Source organism: Homo sapiens, chromosome 8 (genome assembly GCF_000001405.40).
Source record: "Homo sapiens chromosome 8, GRCh38.p14 Primary Assembly".
Classification (NCBI taxonomy): Eukaryota; Metazoa; Chordata; class Mammalia; order Primates; family Hominidae; genus Homo; species Homo sapiens.
Genome location: NC_000008.11, coordinates 53,175,620 through 53,200,485, shown reverse-complemented (window position 1 = coordinate 53,200,485; position 24,866 = coordinate 53,175,620). Strand labels below are relative to the sequence as shown.

General features: G+C 36.8%; 1 long non-coding RNA gene and 1 pseudogene across 1 annotated transcript in view, besides 4 other annotated features; both read right to left on the bottom strand.

The window, feature by feature from the left end:
- Positions 1–22,915, bottom strand: part of LOC105375836 (uncharacterized) — a 52,683-nt gene extending 29,768 nt beyond the window's left edge. The window contains exon 1 of the long non-coding RNA NR_188096.1: positions 22,483–22,915. This is a non-coding gene — a long non-coding RNA (uncharacterized LOC105375836). The remainder of the gene's footprint in view (positions 1–22,482) is intronic.
- Positions 3,145–3,214: an enhancer, noted in NCBI's record as "active region_27354". NCBI's record gives its function as "activates an Ori minimal core promoter by ATAC-STARR-seq in GM12878 lymphoblastoid cells {active_cell/tissue: GM12878}" and the evidence as "EXISTENCE:reporter gene assay evidence [ECO:0000049][PMID:35858748]".
- Positions 3,225–3,274: an enhancer, noted in NCBI's record as "active region_27353". NCBI's record gives its function as "activates an Ori minimal core promoter by ATAC-STARR-seq in GM12878 lymphoblastoid cells {active_cell/tissue: GM12878}" and the evidence as "EXISTENCE:reporter gene assay evidence [ECO:0000049][PMID:35858748]".
- Positions 4,442–4,551: an enhancer, noted in NCBI's record as "active region_27352". NCBI's record gives its function as "activates an Ori minimal core promoter by ATAC-STARR-seq in GM12878 lymphoblastoid cells {active_cell/tissue: GM12878}" and the evidence as "EXISTENCE:reporter gene assay evidence [ECO:0000049][PMID:35858748]".
- Positions 4,662–4,741: an enhancer, noted in NCBI's record as "active region_27351". NCBI's record gives its function as "activates an Ori minimal core promoter by ATAC-STARR-seq in GM12878 lymphoblastoid cells {active_cell/tissue: GM12878}" and the evidence as "EXISTENCE:reporter gene assay evidence [ECO:0000049][PMID:35858748]".
- EI24P5 (EI24 pseudogene 5) lies at positions 5,111–6,140 on the bottom strand (annotated as a pseudogene).
- Positions 22,916–24,866: the final 1,951 nt, after the last annotated feature.

Sequence of the window (24,866 nt, the reverse complement as noted above, 5' to 3'; positions counted from 1 at the left end):
CAGATTTTCTGAGCTAGATTTCAAAGGGTTGTTGTTAACTCCAAGGTTTTCATTCTTGAAAACTAAACATTTTCTTAATAACATCATCATCCATGAAAAAGCAATCCTATTTTTCTGAGAAAATCTTTCTTGGGAGAAATCTTCTGTTCCTTGTTAAAAGCCCAAGCCCACTAAATGATCTGAATGATTATCTGATGAGAAATTTTTCCAAACTATTTTCTTTTAATGAACTTTAGTTTTGCCCAGAGCAATTTCATAGCAAAATAGATCACTGTAATAAAGAAATTGTTGGTTTTGTCAATGCAAACACACCACAATAGTTCGGGCTTCTGCTCTTCAGTTAAACTGTGTTTCCTCTTTTTATTGTATATGTTTAAGATGTACAACATAATGTTTTGATATACTTATCTTGATAGACACATGGCGAAGCGATTTCTACAGTTAAGCAAATTAACACACTCATCATCTCATATACTGTAGATACCTTTCTCTTTCTTTGCGGTAAGAGTACCTAATAGCTACTCTCTTGGCAAGTTACCAGTGTACAAAAATATTAACCAGGAGGTGAACATTAGATCTCCAGATTTATTCATCCTATATAACTGCAACTTTGTGCCTTGTGATGTATCTCTTCTCCTTTCATCTTAAACTCCAGGGATGTGAAGTCTTAAGCACATTTTATGTATAGAAACAACTGCTTCCTGGACTCTTCAGTGGTGAAGAGCATAATATTTTGCAAGGCACAAGGTTGATAGAATATGCGGATATGAGAGTATCATCTTGTGACTATTCCCTAGGAAATCACAAGTAATTAGCCAAAATGCCAAGACATTTAAATGTATATTCCTATTCTCCCAAAAGCACTTCCTTGGTTTCCCTGGCACTCCATGGTACTAGCTCTCATAGTTTGGAGGATTTGGTGGATTCATTTCATAAGAACCAGAAGGTTTCACAGAGAATCACTGAGGAAAACAGATATCCCTTATAGGATTCTTTGGTCGATTTTATTCCATTGTGCCCATGAATTTAGGGTGATCTATTCTCCCACTGGAACATAGTCCAGCACACTATACCTGTGGTTACTGAATCACCTTTCTTTGCCCTGCTAGTCCTTGAAGGTATTACATAAGTTCCTTTTACCTTAAAAATTCTGAAGAACTGTGTTCACTGGCCGCCTCCTTTTTAAAGCACTCTCCCTGTAATTCCACACAGCCTGCCCCAATGCGCTGGTTGTGCACAGCATTTTGCAGTAGGGAAGGACCTAAGAGATTCCCTATGAACCCACTTTTCACAATCTCAGCGCTTGTTTGTGAAAAGTGAGTTCACATGGAATCTCTCAGGTGTGCACACATTGTTGATACCTGTGACCAGAACCTGGGGGTTGCGCATCTCCTTGGGGATCCTTCCCGGGACAGCGGACCTCCCTCAGTTTCCAGTGCAGACCAGGGTGCCCCATCTCCCACCTCTGGGGTCCCCTTTCTTTTGCTCTCCCCTGATGTCTTCCCTCCCATGTCCGCGCACTCCTCCGGCTTCCTCCTCTTTTTCTCACATGCACACACACACACACACACACACACACACACACACACACACACACACACAAACACACACTACCTCCTGGGCTCCTCTCTGCTCTGTTGGTGAGGTAGGATGTGGGACTGAGACACTGGACCAAACTGAGGACTAGCTAAAACAGTTCTGGGGAGGAAGCACCTCCCCAAGATTGTCCACCAGTGTGCTATGTCAGTTTACCATCACCATGGCAACACCCAGAAATTACCGCTCCTTTCCATGGCAACAACCTAACAACCCGGAAGTTACTGCCTTTATCCTAGAAATCTCTGCTTAAACTACTCCTGGAAATTTCTGCATAAACTACTCCTTAATTTTCATAGAATTAAAGTTGGTATAAATATGACTGCAAAAGCTCCTCTGAGCTGCTACTCTGGGCACACTACCTATGAAGTAGCCCTGCTGGGCAAGGAGCAGTATGTCTGCTGCTGTTGTACACTGGCGCATCAATAAGTGTTGCTATTTAACACCACTGGCTGGCCCTCGAATTCTTTCCTGGGTGATGCAAGAATCGTTCCTGGGAAAGCCCCAATTTGGGGGCTTGCCTGTCCTGAATCACTTCCATGCCAGAGTGGCCCAGAACCTGGGGTCCTGGGGTGGGCTTCTCTGTGTGAACCCCGTTGACCTTCTGGACTTCAGCTTTCCCCTGGGACCTCACTGTGCCTTTCCATTTAGTTGGTGAGGCCCTCTGACTTGCTACCCCATGCATACTCTAGTTCCTGGGAGCTGTGTGAGAGCCACAGAATTTGGAACCCAAAGACCCTTATCTGGGACCCCCTTACCTGGAACCCTGTTGACCTGCTTGGTTCTGGTTATTTCCATTTCCTGCCCCCTGAACACATGCATACCTAAGTATTTCCAGGTAGTGCCCAGCTGCTGTTAGAACTCAATACTGTTCCCTGCCTGACATACCTGCTCTTATTCTTTATGGAGTCTTAAATATTGTATTAGTATATTCTCATGCTGCTAATAAAGACACACTCAAGACTGGGTAATTTATAAAGGAAAGAGGTTTAATGGACTCACAGTTCCACATGGCTGGGGAGGCCTCACAATCATGGCAGAAGGCAAAGGAGAAGTAAAGGCACATCTTACATGGTGGCAGGCATGAGAGTTTGTGCAGGGGAACTCCCATTTATAAAACCATCAGATCTCATGAGACTTATTCATTACCACGAGAACAGTATGGGGAAAACTGCCCCCCATGATTCAATTATCTCCACTTGACCCCACCCTTGACACATGGGGATAATTACAATTTAAGGTGAGATTTGGGTGGGGACACAGCCAACCCATATCAGATATAAACCTGGATGGAGCTTTTCGTATATTTCAATTTGTGCTTACAACAATTTTCTTGCGAATGCTTTCACTCTCCATCTGGGCTTTGCCAATTCAGATACCACCCTGACCAGTGGCTAAGACTGGTCAATTATGACATCAACTTCCTTTCTAGTCTTACTCTAATTAAAATCCATGTTATCTATGCCCTCTTTTTCAGCCAAACCAACTAACTTTGACTCCCTGAGAAGCCAGGCCTGCCCCAACCTCAAAACTGCTTTCCTTCCCCTCTCCTTTCTATTTGTCTAAGCCCCACCCACCCAGCTTTCTGGCTCAGTTACATGGGAGTCTCCCCTCATCTCCATAGCCCTCTGCTGTCTTCTGCAGTTATAGCAGTGCATTGCTTTCACCAGTTGAATGCAAACATCCCGCCTCAAAGGATGCACACTAGACCAGTGATTTTCAAGCCTGACCATGCATGAGAAACATTGAAAATACAGATAACAGGCCCATGCTCAAGTCCTACTGACTTCACAAACGCCGATCAAGACTTCTTTGCATCCTCAAAGCTTATGCATCATAAACAATAATTATTCATGGTGGCCCTAGTTTCTTGTTTTTAATTTGCCAGTGAACTCATAAATTGCTTTGATTAGGTAAACCAGCTAACCCAATGCCTGACATGTAATAGTATTCTATAAATGCTAATTATTTCCCCTACTTTTTACTTCTGTTGCCACAAGTTTTATAGCTTTCATTTGTTTACATAAATATTTTAATAGATTTATATCTTCTGTATTACTTTCTATCCTGTATATTTTTGGCTTTTTCAGTCAAAGGTTTTCTGGCTCACTCTTGACCTTCAATTATCCCTTTTAGACTCTTCGACATTTTGATATTAAATTCATTACTTAGTCTGCCTATTTCTCAAACTTCTATGCAATTATATTTCCTGCCACCTACATTTTTTCTACTTTTAGCCTTGATCTTTCCTTCTTTATTTTTTGCTTTAATTTTCTTCTAGCAAGTAACGAAGTAGACCTTGAAATCTCATGGCCAATGACTTCTGTTTTTATAATATTTTTACTTATTTAAGTTACCTTTGTTGAATATTATTGGAAGACCTTGGAATGCCCTACAATTTAAGTTTTCTGTCTGCCTGTAGAGGAGGGAAAGAAAGAAGAGGATTTCAAACTAAAAGAGGTATTAGATATTATCAGTCTACCTGCTTCATTTTACACACAAAGCACCTGAGATACACAAGTAAAGTGAATTATCAAAGGTTATATTGCTACTTAATGACAGATTCACTTTTTTAGGGGGCAAGGGCCAGTTCATTTTTAATTGTGACATTTTAAAATTGTACGATGGTTTTCACATCTGCCGTCCTTCCATATTTAGTCTCTTAAAATGACAGAAGTATATCGACCAATCATGGATTTAATGGGTTTAACATATTTACCTCTTCATTTCCTATTCACAGAACCTTATATTCCTTTGAAATACCAGAAAGACCCAGGAGTGGCCAACAGTAAATCTCTTCCCTCCAGAGTTGAAAAGGTCAGGCTGTCTGAACACTCTGTGTTGGGATGCCACCTGTCCTGAGCTGGTACCTCTCCATAGTTGGAGGACTTCAAATGTACCAGTGGAAAAAGCATTTGCCCCTTAAAGGAGGAGAAAGAAAATCACTCCACAAAACCCAGCAGATCTGGCTATGAGGTCTTCCCTCCTTTCCTTTCTCTTCAGGTTCACTTTTGCTTTTGTTTTGTCTTTTTTTTGCAGTGGAGCAAGACAGACCGAAACTTAACTTGAGTCAGAAGGAACAAGACAGTGACAGCTGTCATTACTGTCCCACATCCAATGTATGTACTTCACAGAAAGATAGCACAAACTGCAAGGGTGATGCAATTCACACCTCCAAGGAGGTAGAAGGCCCAACAGCACAGGGAGAAAGACAAAGTGGAAAGACAAAGTATCCAGATCAGCCCAGGCTCAGGGACTGGCAAGGGCTAGAAAGGAGCTGCAGAAAAACCTGTGGTCCTTTCAGACCATGGGAGTGTTTACAATCCACATAGTGTCAGGGAGATTCTGTCTTCCATGCACCAGAAAATAAACTTCCAGTTCTTCAGAGAGAAGGGATGTGACAGCCTTGGCAGAGTGGGTCCTGCATTCCTTGTGTATTTGCAGGTGGTGGGGAGTAGGTGGAGTGTCCAGCTGGTACAATCCCACCCAGCCCCTTTGGATGGCAGGTGACCCAGTGGTCTGCAGCAGCCCTCGGTGAGGCAGGAGGTGGAGGTGGTAAAGGGAACTTCTCTGCAGAGGTTGAGCTGTGCAGGGCAGACAGCATGGAGACTGTTGTGTAAAAGGGTCTGTGGCTTAAGACCACCAAGGAGAAGAGGTGCAAACTGTGCACTTTGCCAGCATCTTTGCTTATTGGTGCTGATAATGAACTAAGGAGAGAGGAGAGAGAAGAGGCAGCAGCTACTGATGATGCTTGAGGACGGTGTAGCTGTGAGAAAAGCTAAGGGTGAACCAAATCCAAAGTAGTGAGGCTGATTCCTTTCCAATGCTTGACAACTGCTGGCGCATTCCACTTTCTTTATTGCACCAGGGTTACTAGAAGCAGTTTAATGAGTAGAGAAGAGACACACGCAGGAGACTGACCAGCTGACCAATGATGTGGACGCGTGGGCTCGAGACTGGCCCACACCTTGTGGAGGGGGGTCAAGAGCCACAGCTAAAGGTGGGAGAGGCTGGGCACGGTCATTTTGCCAACACTCAGGAGTGGATGAGGCTTCCCTGCCGACGCCCCAAATGGCAGGTCAGCTATGTCTTGAAATCAGACGGCCTGGACAGTTTTGCTAAGTGTAATCAGAGGGCACAGTCAGAGAATATGGAAAATAGGTGTGGGGAGAACTCCAGCTGCCACCAAACATGTCTCTGTAAAGAAGGATCTCCAGTAATTTGTGCTCTTACTGACTGAGGCACAGGAGAAAACACTCAATGAAACAAGGGACTTAACTGGAATACTGGAAAATTCCACCAACAATATGGGGCTCACTCTCTTGCGGGAGCTCTGTGCTCTGGGCTGTGCACTGCGCCCGGACGCTACTCTTCCTTCTTCAGCCCTGCTCCCTCTCCGTTGCCAGATCTGAGCGTGTAGCTTTCAGATGACACACAAGCCCCAGATGGAGTCTTTGATTCCGCAGGCAGAGGAGCAAGGGTGTGACCCTGTCAGTCATGTCTTCACCGCCCAGACTATCAAGTACACAGAAGAGAGAAAAGTGCCTCAAATCTATCATCCTGAAGGGCCTGTCAGCTGTAGCTGGACCCTGGCTGCAGCCCTAGGCTCCACCTCACCCACACAGACCCACTGGCCTTCACCACAGCTGCACCCCCAGGGCTGGATTCCCTGTTCCCGTAGAGTGCCCTGAGCTCAGCCACTGGACCGCCTCCTTTTTCTATCTACCATTGTCCTCCCAGTAATCACCTAGAGCACCATACAGTACTTTATTAGTACCGTATAGACCGATAGTCCCAATTATATCTCAGCTCAGATCTCTCTACCGAACTCCAGAGAATATATATCTAACTGCCTACTCAATATCTCCTTAGACTAGTTCATAGATACCTCATAATTAACATATCCTAAACGCACTTTCTTTAGAAACCTTTTTTCTTCCACAAACTCCTATTTCAATTAAGGATACCTCTATCCTCCCAGTTTCTCAGCACAGAAATGTAGATGACATACTTGTCTCTTCTTCTCTCACACACTACATCTAATCCATGGACATATGCTGATTCTAACTTTCAATTATCCCTAACATTCACCTCCTACTCCTGCTAGAATGACTGAGACCAGCCATCTCGCTGGTGTGAAGAGAGGAGACAGAGGTGGGAGTTCACGGAGGTGAATGTGCCTGAAATAATCAGGCCAAATAACCAGACAAGAAGGAGCAACACAGAAAAAGAGGTCCGGAAATGTGCAAAGGTGTCCCCTTGAGCCTTCAGTGGAGTATTAATCTATGCATGTGAGGAGTAAAACTGCAAGTCCACTCAAAGAACAACTAACTCCTGGTGGCAATATGAAAAACAATCCCAAAGTTCACATGGAATGGGGAGGCATTTGAATTCTGTCCAGCCAGAGTAAAAAGAGCTTGCTGAAAACCTGGGAAGATCAGTGGAACTACTAGAAGGGTCATATCTTAGTACTAGGGCTAAATTAGCTGTAGACATAAGGATATTCTAAAACTACACTAACACAGTTTAAAAATAATCTTCCAAAAGTAACAATATAATGCAGAGGAAACTTAATTGCCTCTCCAAAAGAAAACTACATTTTAAAAGTAAAACAACAAAATCTAAACATTTAATAATGGGATGTATGCAATGTTTCCCACTCAATCAAAAAATACTTCACATGCAAATAATAAGCAAATTATAATCCACAAGCAGTAGGAAAATGAGTAAGGAATGACGGAAACAATAGAGGTGTCAAGGAATAACTTCAGAACAGCAACTACAAATCCTATAAATTTGCTCCAAGATTTGCAGTAAAACATCACCATATTAAGGATATTTGAAAATGAAACATCTAAAGACGAAAAACTAAATGTATAAAGTAAAATATTTACTGGATAAGATTAACAGATTTGACATTGTGGAAGAAAAAAATCAGTGAATTTGAGAACATAGCAATAGAAACTTTCCAACATTATGCACAGAAGAAAAAAGACTAGAAAGGAATGAAAAAGTCTCAGTGACCTTTGGGCAAGTATTGGGCAGCCTCAAATACATGTAATTAAAGTCTCAGAAGAAGAGGTGAGAGGGAGGAAGGGAGACAGAAAAAGGTCCTGAAGAAATAATTGTTGAAAACTTTTCAAACATGAGGAAAACTGTAAATTCACAGATGCAAGAAAACTCAAACTGAGTAAGTGTAAAGAAAAACATACTGTTAATCCCACATTCATTTCTAATAATATTTTTCTTAAAAAATCTGAGGGTGTAATAAAGACATTTGAGGCAAATAAAAGCCAAGGAATGTTTTACAACAGCCGAGAAAGTTCTTCAGAAAGAAAAAAAAATGATACCAAATGGAGATTAAGATCTGTGCAAAGGAATGAAGAACACTGGAAATGGTGTGTATGTGGGTAAATAGAAAATATTGTCCTATATGTATTTTCGTCTCTTTAAAAGAAGATCGAATGTTTTGCAAATTATACCTCAATAATTTAAAATTTTAAAGACAGTTTACTATTTGAAAAAGTATTAATGTGTTGTGGGATTTAAAACATTTAGAAATAAAATACATGGAAATACAGGTAAGAGAATGGGAGGAAAGAAATGTAAATCTCCTCTTAGGATGTTCTTAATTTATATGTGAATGATTCTGACATTAGTTGAAAGTAGACTGTGATAAATTAAAGACACATGTTGTAAATCCCAGAACAGCCACTAAAAAAATACAGTGAAGATATAAAACTAATAGGTCAATCATGGAGATAAAATTGAATATTAGATAATACTAAATTAGTCCATAAAAGGATAAAAAAGGAAAAATAACAAAGAGCACAAGGAAAAAATAGAAAACAAGTAAAAGATGGTTTATGTAGCCCAACAGTATTCATAATTACATTAACTGTAAATGTAGGAGAGGATTTGATTATGAAGGGACAGCATGAGAGAAATGTGTGCATGAGGGGGAGATGGAACCATTCTGTACTTTAATTGTGGCAGTGGTTACATGACCCTATGCATCTATCAAAATTCATAGAAATGTGCATCAAAAAGTGAATTTTACTTTGTGTATTTAATACCATAACTTTTGAAAATTAAAAGCAATGCTCAACATTATTAGTTGTCAGAGAAATCAAAATTAAAACCAAAATGTGATACCACAATACCAAGCCTGAAGTGATAGAAACTCTCAGCCATTGCAGATGGGAATGTCAAAAGGTATAGCCACTTCGAAAACACTGAAAGTGTTTAAACACACACTTGCCATATTAACCAGCAGTCCCACTCCTAAGTATTTACTTAAAAGAAATAAACATATGCCCACATAAAAATTCATGTGTAAAGGTCCATTATAACTCTCTCCATAGTAGCCCCAAATTGGGAACATTTCAAAGTTCTATCTACAGGTAAATGCAGAAAAAGATATTACATATCCATACAATAGAACACTACTCTGCTATATCAGTAGATACATGTCACATGGTGAATGAATCTCAAAAATGGGGAACAAACTGCTGATACACGTGACATCATGGATGAATCCCAAAAGCAGACTCGAGTAAATTAAAAGGCAGGGCTAGGCCAGGATTACGTCTGTAATCCCAGCACTTTGGGAGGCCAAGGCAGGCAGATCACAAGGTCAGGAGATCTGCTAATAGGTCATCCTGGCTAACGCAGTGAAACCCCATCTCTACTAAAAATACAAAAAAGTAGCTGGGTGTGGTGGCACGTGCCTGTAGTCCCAGCTACTTGGGAGGCTGAGGCAGGAGAATCGCTTGAACCTGGGAGGCGGAGGTTGCAGTGAGCCGAGATCACGCCACTGCTCTCCAGCCTGGGTGACAGAGCAAGACTCCGTCTCAAAAAAGAAGAAGAAAAAAAAACACGGCAGGGCTAAGGGTCCGATGAAAACCCCTCGGTGTGGGTGCAGTGGAAAGAGAGCAGCAGCAAGTGTGGGAAGAAGCGGGCACAGGAAGGAAGGCTGGAAGGCACAGGCACAGTTTTGACTATGGAGAGCAATAAATTGGATCATTTTCATTGCACTTGAGCCTCAGAACATGCAGTTTTAAAAAGAAGGCGCCTGAATGGCCACTGTTTGAGAAAATCAACCTGTTACTTAAAAGTATACTTTATGTTATTCCTAAATGGAATTATACAATCCAAAACTTTAAATTTCTTGTATATAAGTACAAATATATGTGGTGCTTTTCCCATCAGTTATTAATTCAACAAATGAAAAATAAAGAAGTCTCATACTTCATGTAACTTCAATTTCAATGACAGAAATAGACTCTTACCACACAGAAACAGATGCATAACATAATATAAGAGAGGGGCAAGTGCTTTAGAGCAAAACAAAGCAGCGTGGAAGGAAAAAGACAGATGGGGTACTCTTTAGAATGTCATCAGGGAGTGCCTGAGTAATGAGATGAGATTTGAATAAAGATTTTAAGACATGCAGGGAGCACCCATGGGGATACCTGGATCAACACTTCCAGGAAGAGGGAGAGGAAGTGCAAAGGCCCTGAAGTACAAGCCCAAGTGGAGCAGATGCATCGTGTGAGAATTTTAATGGGTTTTTATCTTCTTTCTCCAAAGTAAGATTCTTGAGGTGCTTTTAAATAAAAAGGCAAACAACAAACATTCCAATGATAAGCTCATTATTATCTACGTAAAGATAACTAAAGGAAGCAATACAAATTCTTGTAAACTCTTACTCAAAATCAGGAGAGTTTGTTTCTGATTCAGGCAATTCCTCTCTCCAGAAGATTGTGTTGATTACAACCACCACCACCACAACAACAACGACAGTTCACAAAGTATTCATTTGTGATGAGTCTTTGCTTTACTTCAAGGATCTAACCAAATAAAGAAATAAATGTAGTGTAAGGGAGACATTTGGGGACCCACGGGTTGTTTGTGGGTTGAGTACTGGAACTGGTAGATTTCAATTTCATGAATGAAATTAACCCTCTAACACTGTGTGATGCTGCCTCTCAAGATTCACAGGACCTGTATGCCCTCAAAGGTGTGCTTCATGCAGTTCTTGGTATCATACCTAAGAGGTAAATGGAGAAACCAGAATCCATCCAGAGGCGAGTGAGCAGAGTAGCCTGCCAAGATGCTTGCCCCAAGCCCGGATCTTTTGATCCAATGCTCTTCACTCTGATAAGAACTCCTCCCACCACCCCCACACCTACCTTTTTCTTTTGTGGGTCTTTTTTACAATCTAGGTTTTTGCAGTTATTTAGAAACCCTTTCATGGGAAAACATTTATAAAAACTTGCATTAACTAGAAATAATTTGTATAATGACCTTAAAGTCTGTGTCTTGAATAACTATAGGAAACTTGAAAATATCTTTAATGAAACAGATTATTTAAAACACAACTGGAATGACTGTTCAAGGAAAATTTATAATCAAATTAGTTCTAAATAAGTTAACTATTTGAATAAACTATATTTACATATCTTTACTGAGTCATAGTTACTAAACATAAGCACTCTATTAGGTTAATATTAACAGTTTCAAAATCCATGGGTAAACAAAGAAAAGAGATCTTTGTTTACATTTGTACTAATTTATAAAGGAAGTTGATATTATTTGTATCGATTTAGAAAGGAGGTATATATTATTTCAATAATTGTGTCACCACTTTTCAGTGAAGTGGACTTTTTTCAAAATATTTTTGAGTATGAAAAGTTTTCTTTTTCAGTAAAGGGAAAACTCAATTTTCAGATATTAATATTTAGTTATATAAACTTCCCTAAGGCTTTTACTTAGAAATCTTCTAGCAATATCATTTGAACAGATTTCTCATTCCTCACAGTTACAGTAAATGCAGGATTACTCCTAAAGACCGTCTAAGTCTCTTTTTTGCTAAGGCTGCTAATTATCATGAAAAATGTTTCAACAGCACCAGAACTCATATTTATGAAAAATTCACTGATATCAATGATGCTTTAAATGATGTAAAGATAAACATGGTTGCTAATTACGTTTGGATTTTCTAGTCAAGGTAAAGACATATTTTGCTTATTCTATTCATTATGGAAGAAAAAAGGAAAGTATCTTATACCATGAGGAGGTTCTCCCTAAGCAGGGTGGCATTGATTTGCTGCTGGCAAGTTCTGAGCCCAGGATTCTGCAGATATGATTTGACATAGCATCAACAAACCAGCATTTTCATTTGAAGCATAAGGTAGCCTCAGAAAGCCCTACGCTGCAGAAATACCTCCCTCACTTCATGGTAAAACAGTGACACCAAGGCCAAAGAGGACTGTGTAGTTCTGAGCCTGTAGCTCTCCAGACCCTTAATTCAGAAACCCATGTTTATGTCCAGTTTGAGTTCTGCAGCTGGGAAGCAGTATATAAGTCCCAATAGGGATTCTGGCCTGAAGCCTCATAGTTGTCATAAAATTTATCTTTTATATGGTAACATCCAAATGGATTATATTAAAAATGCCTTTTTATCTCTCTTCTTGTATGTTATCAGCAGAGGAATGATGGAACTGAGTGTAGCAAAGACACTCAGGTTTCTGAAGCTCCAGGAATTCACTTATAAAGGTAACTATTAGACCTCATACCTCTTTTACATAGCCATTTTGGAAAATGTCTTTCTGGAATTCCAATTTAAATATTAATCGGATCAAGCAAATATGCTACATTTTGCCTTAAAAACCTACTTGAGTAAAGACTTTCACCACTCTAGATACGGAAAAAAGGAAACTGAGCTGAGACATTGAGTAGTCACAGATTAAGCTGTTAGCATCAAATATACTCCCAAGTGAGCCTAAATATCTCACGATTCCAGATTATTGATACTTGGCTGTCTTTAAATTCTTCTTCAATAACCCTTTTTATAAGCTCATTCAGATAAAATGTTTAGAAGAATCTTATTTTACAAGATAAGATTCTTCACATAATGTTGCCTCTGCAGAAATAATATTGCCTGGGAATATGAAAATAAAAAAATAAGATGGTAGTGGGTGATCATGAAAAGTCAAAACTGTATGAACTTAACCCTCAAGTTTTGGGGTTACTTTAAAAATTGTTTGTTCATCTTCAAAATCACATCCATTTCTACTTAACTTATGCATCTATTTATAATCATGACATTATGATAGTTTCCAATTGTTTTACTCTAAATTCTTTATTAAACTAGGGGATGGGGAACTGTTCAGCATTTAAAAAAATAATTTCAACTTTTAGATTCATGGGTACACGTGCAGATTTGTTACATGAGTATACTGTGTTGCACTGATGTTTGGGGTACAAAGCAGCAGCCAACGACCATATGAAAAAATGTTCAACATCACTATTATCAGAGTAACACAAATCGAAATCATAATTGTTTTAAAGAATTTCCCTAGAAGTTATAGGAGTAGGAATTACTGTCAAGTTTGATAACAATGTTCAAAGGAAGGTTATGGGAAATTATCTTTAGTTACAAACTGTTTTATTGCAAGAGAATAATGCTCAAGGGATTCTTACTGTATCTATAGTTTGAAAAAAAATATACCTGGAAGTTTGAAAATAGATATCTGAAGACAGCCAGAAGGGCAAAGTCTATGCCTACCTAAGCAGGGGATGATTCTTATTAGTTGCTATTGTATTGAAATTTGCTCAATAACAAAGTTATGCATAATTACTAGGCCTTCTATTACCAGAAACATTGTGTCTCCACATTTTTTTCAACTATGCTAACTACACTGTCTTCATGAAAGACTGTATAGTATTTCCAGGTAACTCAGATAAATGCTACATGTGTCTTTAGATATTATCTTCCTTGCCCTCTACCTAATGTGGCATGGCTAGATTCTAGAGCCATACATCCAAAGCGTTCAAGTAATAACTTATGGGAATGTCTCACACCTTGTGTTGCAAGACAGAACAATAAGTTTCTGTTACAAATATTTTTTGCTTGTACCTACTGCTATTTTATTTGCTTTCTTTGGTCTTCAGAGACAGAAAGTTGATAATGGATCCAACAGTGGATTAGAAGCCCAAGGAGTCACAGACAGGATGAATCCTCATTCATTCTTAAACTCTCTTCTAAAGGACATCTGGGGTTCCACTTACATGTATGTTAGACCATTTGACACCTCCTCATGGAGCTTGGAGGCTTTATTCATTTTCCCACATTTTTGTTTGTTTGTTTGTTGTTTTTTTCTTTGTCTTTTTTTTAACCTCTACATATCTTCTGTCTGATTGTTAGGGTTGATGGTTGAGTCACTCTAATCTGTAATTGATCTGAGTCTGAATTTTCTTGCAATTCTACTTAGATTCAGTTCATCACTAACTTCAAATATTTTGAGAATAAGATCAAGCATGATAAAAGAAAAAACCTTGTTAACCTTTAACTCTATATGTATCATAATTCTTCTTTAAAATTTGAAGACAATATAAAAATATTTAGATAGACAAATATACAGGAATTTGTATCAGGCTGAAGGTAAATATTAAAACATTGACTCTTTGGAGGACAAGACATACAGATAGAAAAAACAAATATATGGGTAATAAAAAAATCTGTTGACTACTTCAAGCAAAATAATGAAAATGTATTACACTGTTCATAGCAGATGTCAAAGTAAAATATATGACAAGGGCACAAAGATTGTGTTGAGTAAACTGAATTCAACTGGTATGAATTTGTAATATTGTTTATGAAGTAGAATAATACATTAATATAGCCAAGGGTATCTTAATCAATTTAGATATTTAGATATTCATATTTTAGTGTCTAGCATATCAACTTAAAAAATATTGGGATATAGTTAAAGAGCCAATAGAAATGATAAAATAGAATACTAAAAACAAACCAAAAACTTTGAAAAAACCTTCAGTTCATTAAATAATAGGTTAGAAAGAAGAAAAAGAAAAAGAAAACATATATGATAAAAGGGAAAACTACTCAGAGCTTAAGATTAAATTTATTAATATCATTAATGATTTTAAATGTAATGAGTCAAACATTCTAATTAAAAGGCAAGAATTGTCAAACTGAATTAGAAAATTAGACCTCAGAATATGCTCTTTTCATAAAACTACTTTAAAAATAAAGATACAAATAAGCCACACGTGAAAATATAGGAAAAGATGTAACATGCAACTCTCAACATAAGAAAGCTGATATGACCATGCCAATGTCAAATAAATTATATGTCAAGAAAAAGAATATTACCAAATGAAGACATACATATCATGATGACAAAAGAATCAATTTATCAAATATTGTAAACTGAAGTATATAGTAATCTCATATTACAACTTTAAAATATGTGAAACAAAACTTGTGAGAGGGGAGAAAGAGACAGACAAATTCCAATCATGACTGGAGATTTTAGCAAATATTTCTCAGTAATTGACAAAACAAGTAGACAAAAATCATTAAAGCTTTAGAAAATTTAAACAACACAAATAGTCAACCTGATCCATTTGACATTTATAGAAAATCTCACCCAACAATAGCAGAATACACATCATTTTCAAATATGCATGGACATTTACCAAGATGGATCACATACTGGGCAATATAATAAACCTCAGTGAATCAAAAAGAAATGAAATGAAATCATATACAACGTGTGACTCTGATTACAATGAAACTAAACTACAAATTAATGAGTTATACATCTAGAAAATATCTTAGTATTTGAACTCACTTCTAAAAAGCAAATATACCAACAAGAAAAAAAAATCAAAACAAAACAACAGAAAAACCCATGGGTCAAACTAGAGTAATTACAAAAGATTTTATATTAGGTATTATTAAAAAGACCATATATAAAAATCTATGGGATATAGATCAATCATTATTTAAAGGGAAATTTGCAATTTTAAATGCTTATATTTGATAAGAAGAAACTTCTCAAATACATACATAACCTAAGATCTCACTTTAAGTAACTAGAAACAGGAGTGCACAAAAAAGCAAACATACATAGCAGAAAGAAAATAATAAAGACAAAAACTGAAATTAATGAGGTAGGAAAGAGACAACAGACAAAATCAACAAGCCAAAAAAGTGTGCTTTGAGACAATGAGTAAAGCTGATAAACCCCTAGTAAGATTGATCAAAAAAGAAACAATTTACCAATATCAAGGAGGAAAAAATATTACAGATCCTAAAGATACTTAAAATGTAATAAATGATAGTATGAACAATTTTATGTAAATAAATTCAAGAATTTTGATGATATGCTCAATTTCTTAAAACATAAAGCAGGCAAAAGAATAAACAAAAAATCTGATTTTTCATATATCTAGTAAAAAAATTAAATTCATTATGAAAAGCTTTTCCATCAAAGACAAACAAAATAAAAACAAAATAACAGTTTCAAGACTAAATGGTTTCACTGGTGAAGTCAGTTAAACATTTAAGGAAGAAATAATATGACTAATACATATATGCTTTCAGTAGACAGAAAAGGAACAAATAATTCCAATTATACTTTTTATGAGGCTAGTGAAATCCTAACTTTTAAAATGTACAGGCATTATAAGAAAATTACAGGTCAATATTCATCATGAACATAGACACAAAAAACCCTTAAGAAAACATCAGTAAACCAAATCTGGCAATATATTAAAAATGGACCTATAATGAGTAAGTGGAATCTAATTAAAAAATGCAAGGTTGGTTTAATATCCAAATCAATCAATTACTACATACACAGAATAATAGAAAAAAGATAATCTTAATAAATGCAGAAATGTATTTGATAAAAATTATAATTTATTTGTGATAAAACTCTCAGTATACTAGAAATAAAGAGAATTTTCTAAAACTGATATTTGATTTCTTAAAGAAAAAAAGCCTTTAGTAACCTCCTCCATATTGGTGAAATATTGAATGCTTTCCCTCTAAGATTTAGAACAAGACAAGGATGTCCCCTTTCACTGCTTCTTCATATGTTAATCTAATATTGTACTGGAACTTCTAGCCTTCTAGCCACTTCATAAAGAAAGAATAAGAAATAAAGTTATACAAATTGGTAAAGAATAACTAAAATTCTGATTGCGTATGTAGAAACCCTATGATATCTACAATGTAAAAAAATACTAGAATTAGCAAGTGAATTTAGCAAAAATACATGCTAAAAAGTCAATATATTAAAAAATAAGTAGCACTTCTATATACTAGCAATAAATAATTGGAAAATAATTTTTAAAAATCCATTTACAAGAGTATCAAAACCTGTCAAGTGCCTAGAAATAAATCCCTTAAAAAGTTATGTAAAACTCTTACATTAAAAACAATAAAACATCTTTGAGAGAAATTACAGAAAGCCTAAATATACTATATTCATGGATTGAAAGATTCAATATTGTTAAAAAATATTTGTCCTTCCAGAATTGATCTACAGATTTAATGTAATTCTAAACAAATTTCAAGCAGATACTTCTGAAAAAAGAGATAGGCATTTCTAAATTAAGATGGAGTTTCAAAGGATCTGGAATAGTCAAAAAATATTTTTGAAGTAATACTAGAATACACACCACCTGTTATCAGTGCTTGCTATAGTAATAAAAAGAGCATGAGACTAATGTAAAGACAGAAAACTTATACAAAAAACAGATTAAAGAGTTCAAAATTTAACTCGCAGATATTGAGTGTATTGAATTTTGGCCAAGGCACTTTGTCAACTAGATGGAAAAAAAGGATATATTTCAACAAAGTTTTTTTTTAAAAGAAAAACAGAATATCTGTATAAAAAAGAACCTCTATAATTAACATACATAAAACACCTGAAGACAGAAGAATACAAATTAGTTTCAAGTGTAAATAAAATATCTACCCAGACAACATTTATTTTGGATCTTAAATAACTTTCAATACACTTAAAAGGACTGAAATAATATAAAATATGCTTTTTGACCACAACAGAGTTCATCTAAAAATCAGTAATGAGAAAAAGGGGTGGAGGGAATATCTATGTAAACATTTGGAAATTAGGCAACACTTAATAACCCCTGGAGCAAAGAAGAAATCACAAAAGAAATTGAAGTTTTGTCTGAATGGGGAAAAAACCCACAACATAACAAAGTTGTGAGATGCTGTTCAAACAGTGATTCATGGGAAAGTTGTAGTTTTAAATGCTTATATTAAACAAGACAAAACATCATAAATCAATGATCTAAGCCAGCAATTAATAAATGTTTACAAATGAGTGAAGAGATGGTAAATTGTTTTGTTTGTTTGTTTGAGACAGAGTCTTGCTCTGTCACCCAGGCTGGAGTGCAGTGGTATGATCTCTGCTCACTGCAACCTCTGCCTCCTGGTTTCAAGCGATTCTCTCACCTCAGCCTCCCAAGTAGCTGGGATTACAGGCACGCACCACCACACCCAGCTAATTTTTGTATTTTTAGTAGAGACAGGGTTTCACCATGTTGGCCAGGCTGATCTCGAACTCCTGACCTCGGGTGATCTGCCCTCCTTGGCCTCCCAAAGTACTGTGATTACAGGCATGAGCCACCGAGACCAGCCCAGACAGTAAATATTTTAAGCTTTGTGGACCACTATGATCTCTACTGAATATTATTGAATATTACTTGGCTTTACTTTTTATAATTTTACAACAGTTTAAAATATAGAATTCATTCTTAGCTAAGAGATTAGATAGAAATATGCCACAGGCTGTAATTTGTCAACCTTTAATTTAAGCTATTGTCTTAAGAAACTAGAAAAATTAATCCCAAAATAAGCAGAAAAAGAAGAATGACAAAGAGTAGAAATCAATGAAATGGAAAAGTGAAAGAAGCACTAGAGGAAATAAATGACATTAAAAACTGATTCACTGATGTGATCAATAAAATTATAAACCTCTAGCCAGAAAGGAAAAAAGAGAGGACTCAAATTACCCTACCTGGAAGAAAGATATCCCATTTTAGATTCTATGGACATTAAAAGATAACAAAGGAATCCTACAATCAACTTTATGTCAATGTATTCTGTAGCTTAGATGAAAAGAATACATTTTTTTGAAAGACACAAAGTACTAAAGCTCACATGTGAAGAAATAGGTAACCGGAACAGTCCGTATTATTAAATTTAGTTTGTAGTTAAAAACCTTCTCTCAAAGAAAACTCCTGACAAGATGACTTCATTGATAAATTCTACCAAACATTTAAGGAAGAAATAATACTGATCCTACACAAAATCTTCCAGAAAATAGAAGGGAAGTAAATAGTACTTAAATTATTTTATGAAGGTAGCATCACACTGATACTGAAACCAGAAAAAGACATTATAAGAAAATTAAACTATAGGCCAGTAGCCTTCATGAACGTAGATGTAAAATCTTCAACAAAATTCTAGCAAATAGAATCCAGCAATGTATGCAAATATTATTTTATCAAGTGATAATGCTTATCCCAAGAATGCAAAGTTTGTTCAATATTCAAAAATCAAACAATGTGAGTTACCATTTCAGCAGGATAGAAAGGAAAAAGCACATGATTATTCCATTTAATGCACTAAAAAGGGATTTGACAAACTTCAACACTCATTCATAATAAAAAATACACGCACAGAGATTGGGCAAAAATATTTACAAAATACATAACTGATAAAACACACATCCAAATTATGTAAAGAATTCTTCTAACTCAATAATAAGATGACAATCCAAGTAGAATTTAAAAATAATATTTGTACAGAGATTTCACTGAAGGAGCTATACAAATGGCCAATAAATACATAAAAAGATACTCATTATTAGAATGCAAATTACAGCCACAGTGAGATATCACTGCATACCTACTAGAATGGCTAACATTTAAAAAGACTAAGAAATACCAAGTATCAGGGATGATGTGAGTAACTCTCATATATTGCTGATAGAAAGGCAAAATGATGCAGTCACTTTTGGAAAACAGCTGGCCAGTTTCTTATTAATGTAACATACAATTTCCATATGATTCATGTAGAGAAATGGAAACATAAATCCACAAAAGACCCACACACAAATGTTCATAGAAGCTCATTCACAATAGGCAAAAATTAAAAGCAACCCAAATATCCATCAATTGGTGAATGAATAAAAAAAATTGTGGTAAACCCATGCATTCAAATTCTACTCAGCAATAAAAAGAATGAACTGCTGATCCATGCAATGGTATGAAGGAATGTCAAATGCATTGTGGTACATGAAAGAAATCAGACAGAAAAGACTATATGTTGTATGATTTCATTTATATGACATTGTAGAAAGAGCAAAACTAAAGGGACAGAGACACATCAGCATTTGAAATAAAAGCAATTGATTGAAAAGGAGCACTAGAAAACTTTGAGTTGATAAATATGTTCTGTACCTCAATTGTGGTAGAAGTTACAGAATTGTACCCTTTTGTCAAAACTTATCAAGTATACTTCAAAATGATGAATTTTATTTCATGTAAACTATACCATAATAAACCTGATTTAAATATCTATATATACCTTGAACCATACCTCGTTCCATTCATAAAGCTGAATAGAGTTGTATCGTAGGCATAATGTTGAAAGTTAGAACCATATAACTTTTCAAAGAAAACACAGACAATATCTTCTCACTCTCAGGGTAGACAAAGATTACTTACACTAGACCCAAATTCTCTAGTATTATAATAAATAATTGATAAGTCAGACTTGATACAATTTTAAATTTGTGGTTATCAAAATGTACCATCAAAGTAATAAATACACAAGCCACTCACTCTGAAAATATATTCACAATATTTATATCTGATAAAAATTTGTGTCCAAAATATGTAAATAACTTCTAAAGATTACCAGTAAAAAATAAATAAGGTAATTGACAAAAGACTTGGGCAGACAGTTTACAAAAGAATAATATTTCAGCCAGCCAATAAGCAATAAAAAGGAATAGGTTGTGGATATCAGAAATAACATTAATTTCAAAAACATTCTGTGGAGTGGAAAAAAAAGTCTTATACAAAGAATATATACTTCATCATTCCATATCACCAAATCCAAACACAGGCAAAACAAATAGATGGAGATAGAATCAGAAAGTATTTGCCTGGTAGTTGGGGAGGAGGAGTAAAGGGGATTAACTTCCAAGGGGTGTAAGGGAACACTCCATGGTACAGGAAATACACCAGATTGTGTGTGTGTGTCAATGAAACTGAATGCCTTAATATATGTATTTTATAAATTTTACCTTTTACCTTAGGGTAGTGTCCTCCCTTAAAAGGAACTGGCAGACAATGTTATTAATATCTCTGATATGGGATGCCTCACTAGTAGAGAAGGAGTGTGGACTAATAGGCACCGAGCTCTCATGAAGCTCTCCTTCAGTTCTTCATTGCATATTGTTGAAGAAAATCATTACAATTTAATAGAAACTTTGATAAGGACTTTTGTCTAAACTGCGTGATCAATAAGGAGAGAATCAGGAGAAACAAAATGTATCTGTTCTCAGACTCTCTACAAACACTCTGTGATAAAAAGCTGCTCTCAGACTTTTCCACAAACTTTTCCATTTTCAAGTGAAGTTAAATTTTCCTGGAACTAAAAGTATGAAACAGGCCAATCATCTGTTCCAGGTTGCTCAGTTTCTAAGAGCAAGAACAGTTTTCATCCTGCCCGAAGTGAATGCCAAAAAGACTTTTTGAACACCAAACACCAAAAAGATTTTTTCACTGAAGAAAGACATGAAAAGTTATTTATATCGAAATCTCTAGAAAATTCCTCTGGCTTTATGGATGTGCAAACTACAAATTTAACAACTTTGCTAGACACCAGAAGGATGTCTATATATTCCCACACACTTTTCTATACTTCATCTTGCCTGATGTATACACTTATTATTACGGATACATTACTACAGATATTATCATCATTTATTTACCAATTATAAGGGACCAGATCCTTTGCTAAGAATTTTGCATTTGAAAGCTCATGTATGCTTCACAACAAATTTATGGTAAGTATTACTATTCCCATTTTACAAATAGAAATAAAAGAGAGATTAAGAAAGATTCCCAAAGCCATCTAGCTTGCTAAATTGTGGAGTCAAGATTTCAACCCAAGTCTCTCTCCCTGCTCTATCTGCCTCTGCACCCCTCTATTCCACTTTCTCTTCTGTTTCAGTGGACATACAATACTGCAGGTCCAGCCTACTCATTGTCTTGGTTCCTCCAGTTACAATTCTCCTTCCCATATCCCCAACATTTACTTTCCATTCTACCAAATCATTCTTGCCAATATCCAATTTGTACATTTTTAGCAGGTCAATACACAACATATTTATATTTTATATGGATCCAAGTATGGAATCTATTGAGATAGACTTGATTGAAATAGGGTAATAGAAATAAGATTTTCATCATTCTTACTGAAAATCCACTGTAGAGAATCTTTAAATTGTTGGCCAAAGGGCTTGCTGACACTCTTTGCTTCCTGATCCAGTTTAGACCTTAGGAAAGCCTTCCTAAAGAAAAGTTTAGGTCTAGAGTAGGAACACTTATCCAGGATGGCTGTCTCATCCTAGTCTGGCACTGAAAGAAAAAAAGGGAAAAAGAAATCCTAGTGTTGCAAACTTTTAATAGATCAACTCCATCAGCTTGAGAAACAGGACCAATGTGTTTCCACTAAGACGAGTTAACTCATTCTCCATTGTGAGGAGCAAAGGGCTTACAAAAGGCCAAAAGTTCCCTCTGGTGAAGGTCCCTTCACAGGGAAACCTGAAACCAAGGAAAGGATGTTCTCTTTGCCCCCAACACCAAACCAGCATGCTGTAATGGTTCTCCTTAAAAAGGTTTTAAAAGCACTCTCAAGTCTGCCACTGTTGTAGAGCAACTAGCCCACATCTCTGCTTTTCTTCAGACAACATACCTTAAAACAGTTAGAAAGTCTTCCTTGGAAGATTTGTAGATACTCACATCTCTACTTCCATTCCTTAGCATGCTCCAATCCAGGTTTTCTCTCCCTGACTATTCCACTGAAACTGCTCTCAACAAGGTTGTCAATTGTCTTGTTCAGGCACATACAGCATCAATTCTCTGTCCTCTTCTTGAACCCTCAGCAGTCGTGGAGTGCTCCTTTTTTCCTGAGATTTTCTTCACCACTTTTCCAAGTTACACTCTGACTCTCTGTCTCTTAATCTCTCTTGCTCACTCACTTTTCTTTCCATCCTTGAGCATTTCTGTCTTTCTATCTCATCCTTTGTTACATAAACAGGTCAAAGATTTCCCTGTTGGAAATAAGAGCTTGGAGTCGCAAGGAAAATGAGCACTCAAACAAAGAATTTCTCAGCAAGGCAAATTTACTTCCACAGAAGGGTGCCACTTGCCCTCCTGGCCACTGCCAGAACACACCGAACAAACGAGGGAAGGGGTTTTTATCCCTAAAGAGGTTAGTCCTTGCTTCTGTGTCCTGTTCCCATTGGCTGGAGCCGGATGGCACAATCTAAGCTAATCCCAATTGGCTATTTCAAATAGAGCAGGGATGTGGGTTACAGTGGTAGGAGGAGTGGTTTTGGTGGGTAGAATAGTTTCAGCAGGAAGGGCAGTTGTAGAGTGGGTAACCAAGGGAACAGATGTGGGTTATAGATAAATGTAACTAGGGGCAAGGAGGTACAAAGAACGAGGAAGTTAGGCTTTGAAATAGAGAACAAAGAACAAAGAAGCTGAACAAGCTGACTCTTTGAAGAGGAACTTACTGTACCTAACATCCCCCTGTGCTGTTCTCTATGTTTACTTCCTCACAGCAGGCAAGGACCTTTGGCTCAAGGACCACTGATGCCAAACTCAAATAATTCTTACACATCCAATTGCTCAAATAAGTATATTTTTTATGATTTAGAGCCTGCTTGCTTGGCATACTCTACAAAATTGCACTCAATATCTGCTCGTCATAGGTAAGACAAACTCTGTGGCTATAAAAGACCTGAAGCCTCTGCTGTCCTTCTCAGCTCCCTGACACAGGGTCCCCATCTTGCTGTTGAGCTACATCACCTGGTCTTGTAAGTCTCCTCTCCGACACTCCTCTCCCACTCCGTGTGGTGTCTTACGCTATTTCCTGCTGGAAGGGACTTCCCCTCTCTTGTAAATCTGTCCATGTTGCACCAAGAAAGCTTTCTGTGCAATACTGCTGTCATGTTCTTCTTTTTTCCTTAGTCAGCCACTAAATCCCCAAGCTCACTACATCTTCTTTTACTTGTTTCTCCTCTTCTGCAACCTCTATGTGATGGCATAGTCCATGACATAATCTTTGACCCTTCCCTTTCTTTCGTTTTTCTATTTGTAGATCATTTCCAAAGTCATATCTTCAGCACTAATCTCTCCCATAAGTTTCTGACAACTGCATACTCCACAGTTCTGTACAAATGTGTTAACAGACTTCATAAATTAAACATGTGCAAAATGAAAATCTTGACTCCACTATCTCTCTCTACCATCAACCCTCCTCCTTCTCATCCCCTTTAATGGCATCACCACTGAGTTGCACATCAGAACATAAAGAATCATCTTTGATTCCTTCTTTTATTTACCCTCACCAGCTGCACTGAATTGAATTTATCAGCCAATCCTGCATCCAAACTCAATCCTAAATTGATCACAGTGGCCAGGCATGGTGTCTCATGCCTGTGTAATCCCAGCACTTAGGAAGGCAGAAGTGGGAGACTAGCTTGATCCCAGGAGTTCTAGACCAGCCAGGGCAATATAGAGAGACCTTGTTGCCACAAAAAGGAAAAAAAAGACAAAAAAAATTGGAAATAAATTGATTACCCCTCCTCACTACCACACTAGCCAGAGCCAATCCCCTCTCTCATCTAAGTTGCTGCTTGTCCTGCTTCCAATCTTCATTCCCATTAAAAATAAATGGGAATAAAATTGAAGTATAAAAATAATACTTCAATTAGAAATGTTTTAATGTAAACAGGTCACATGGACTCTGTACTTAAAAGACTCCAGTGATTTTCTTTTAGCTATAGTCTAAAATCCAGATTCTCCACCATGACTCACCTGGTTTCACAAGCCATTCAAACATCATCTCCTATCATGGTCTCCTGAATTCAGGACTCTCCTGCTAGATTCTTCCTCTGTCCATTGCTGGAATATAGCAGATGTGTTCCTGCTACACAGAATTTTCTTTTGCCAGGTATTCACATGACTATTTCCTTTTTTACCCTTTGCATCTCTGCTCAAATTACCTTTTCAGAGAGGCATTTCATGACACCCTTTAAAATCTCAACTATAACTCTTTTTAACTAGTGTCCCATTTTGTTTCTTGGTATCACTTACCAATTCTGAACTCACTTTAT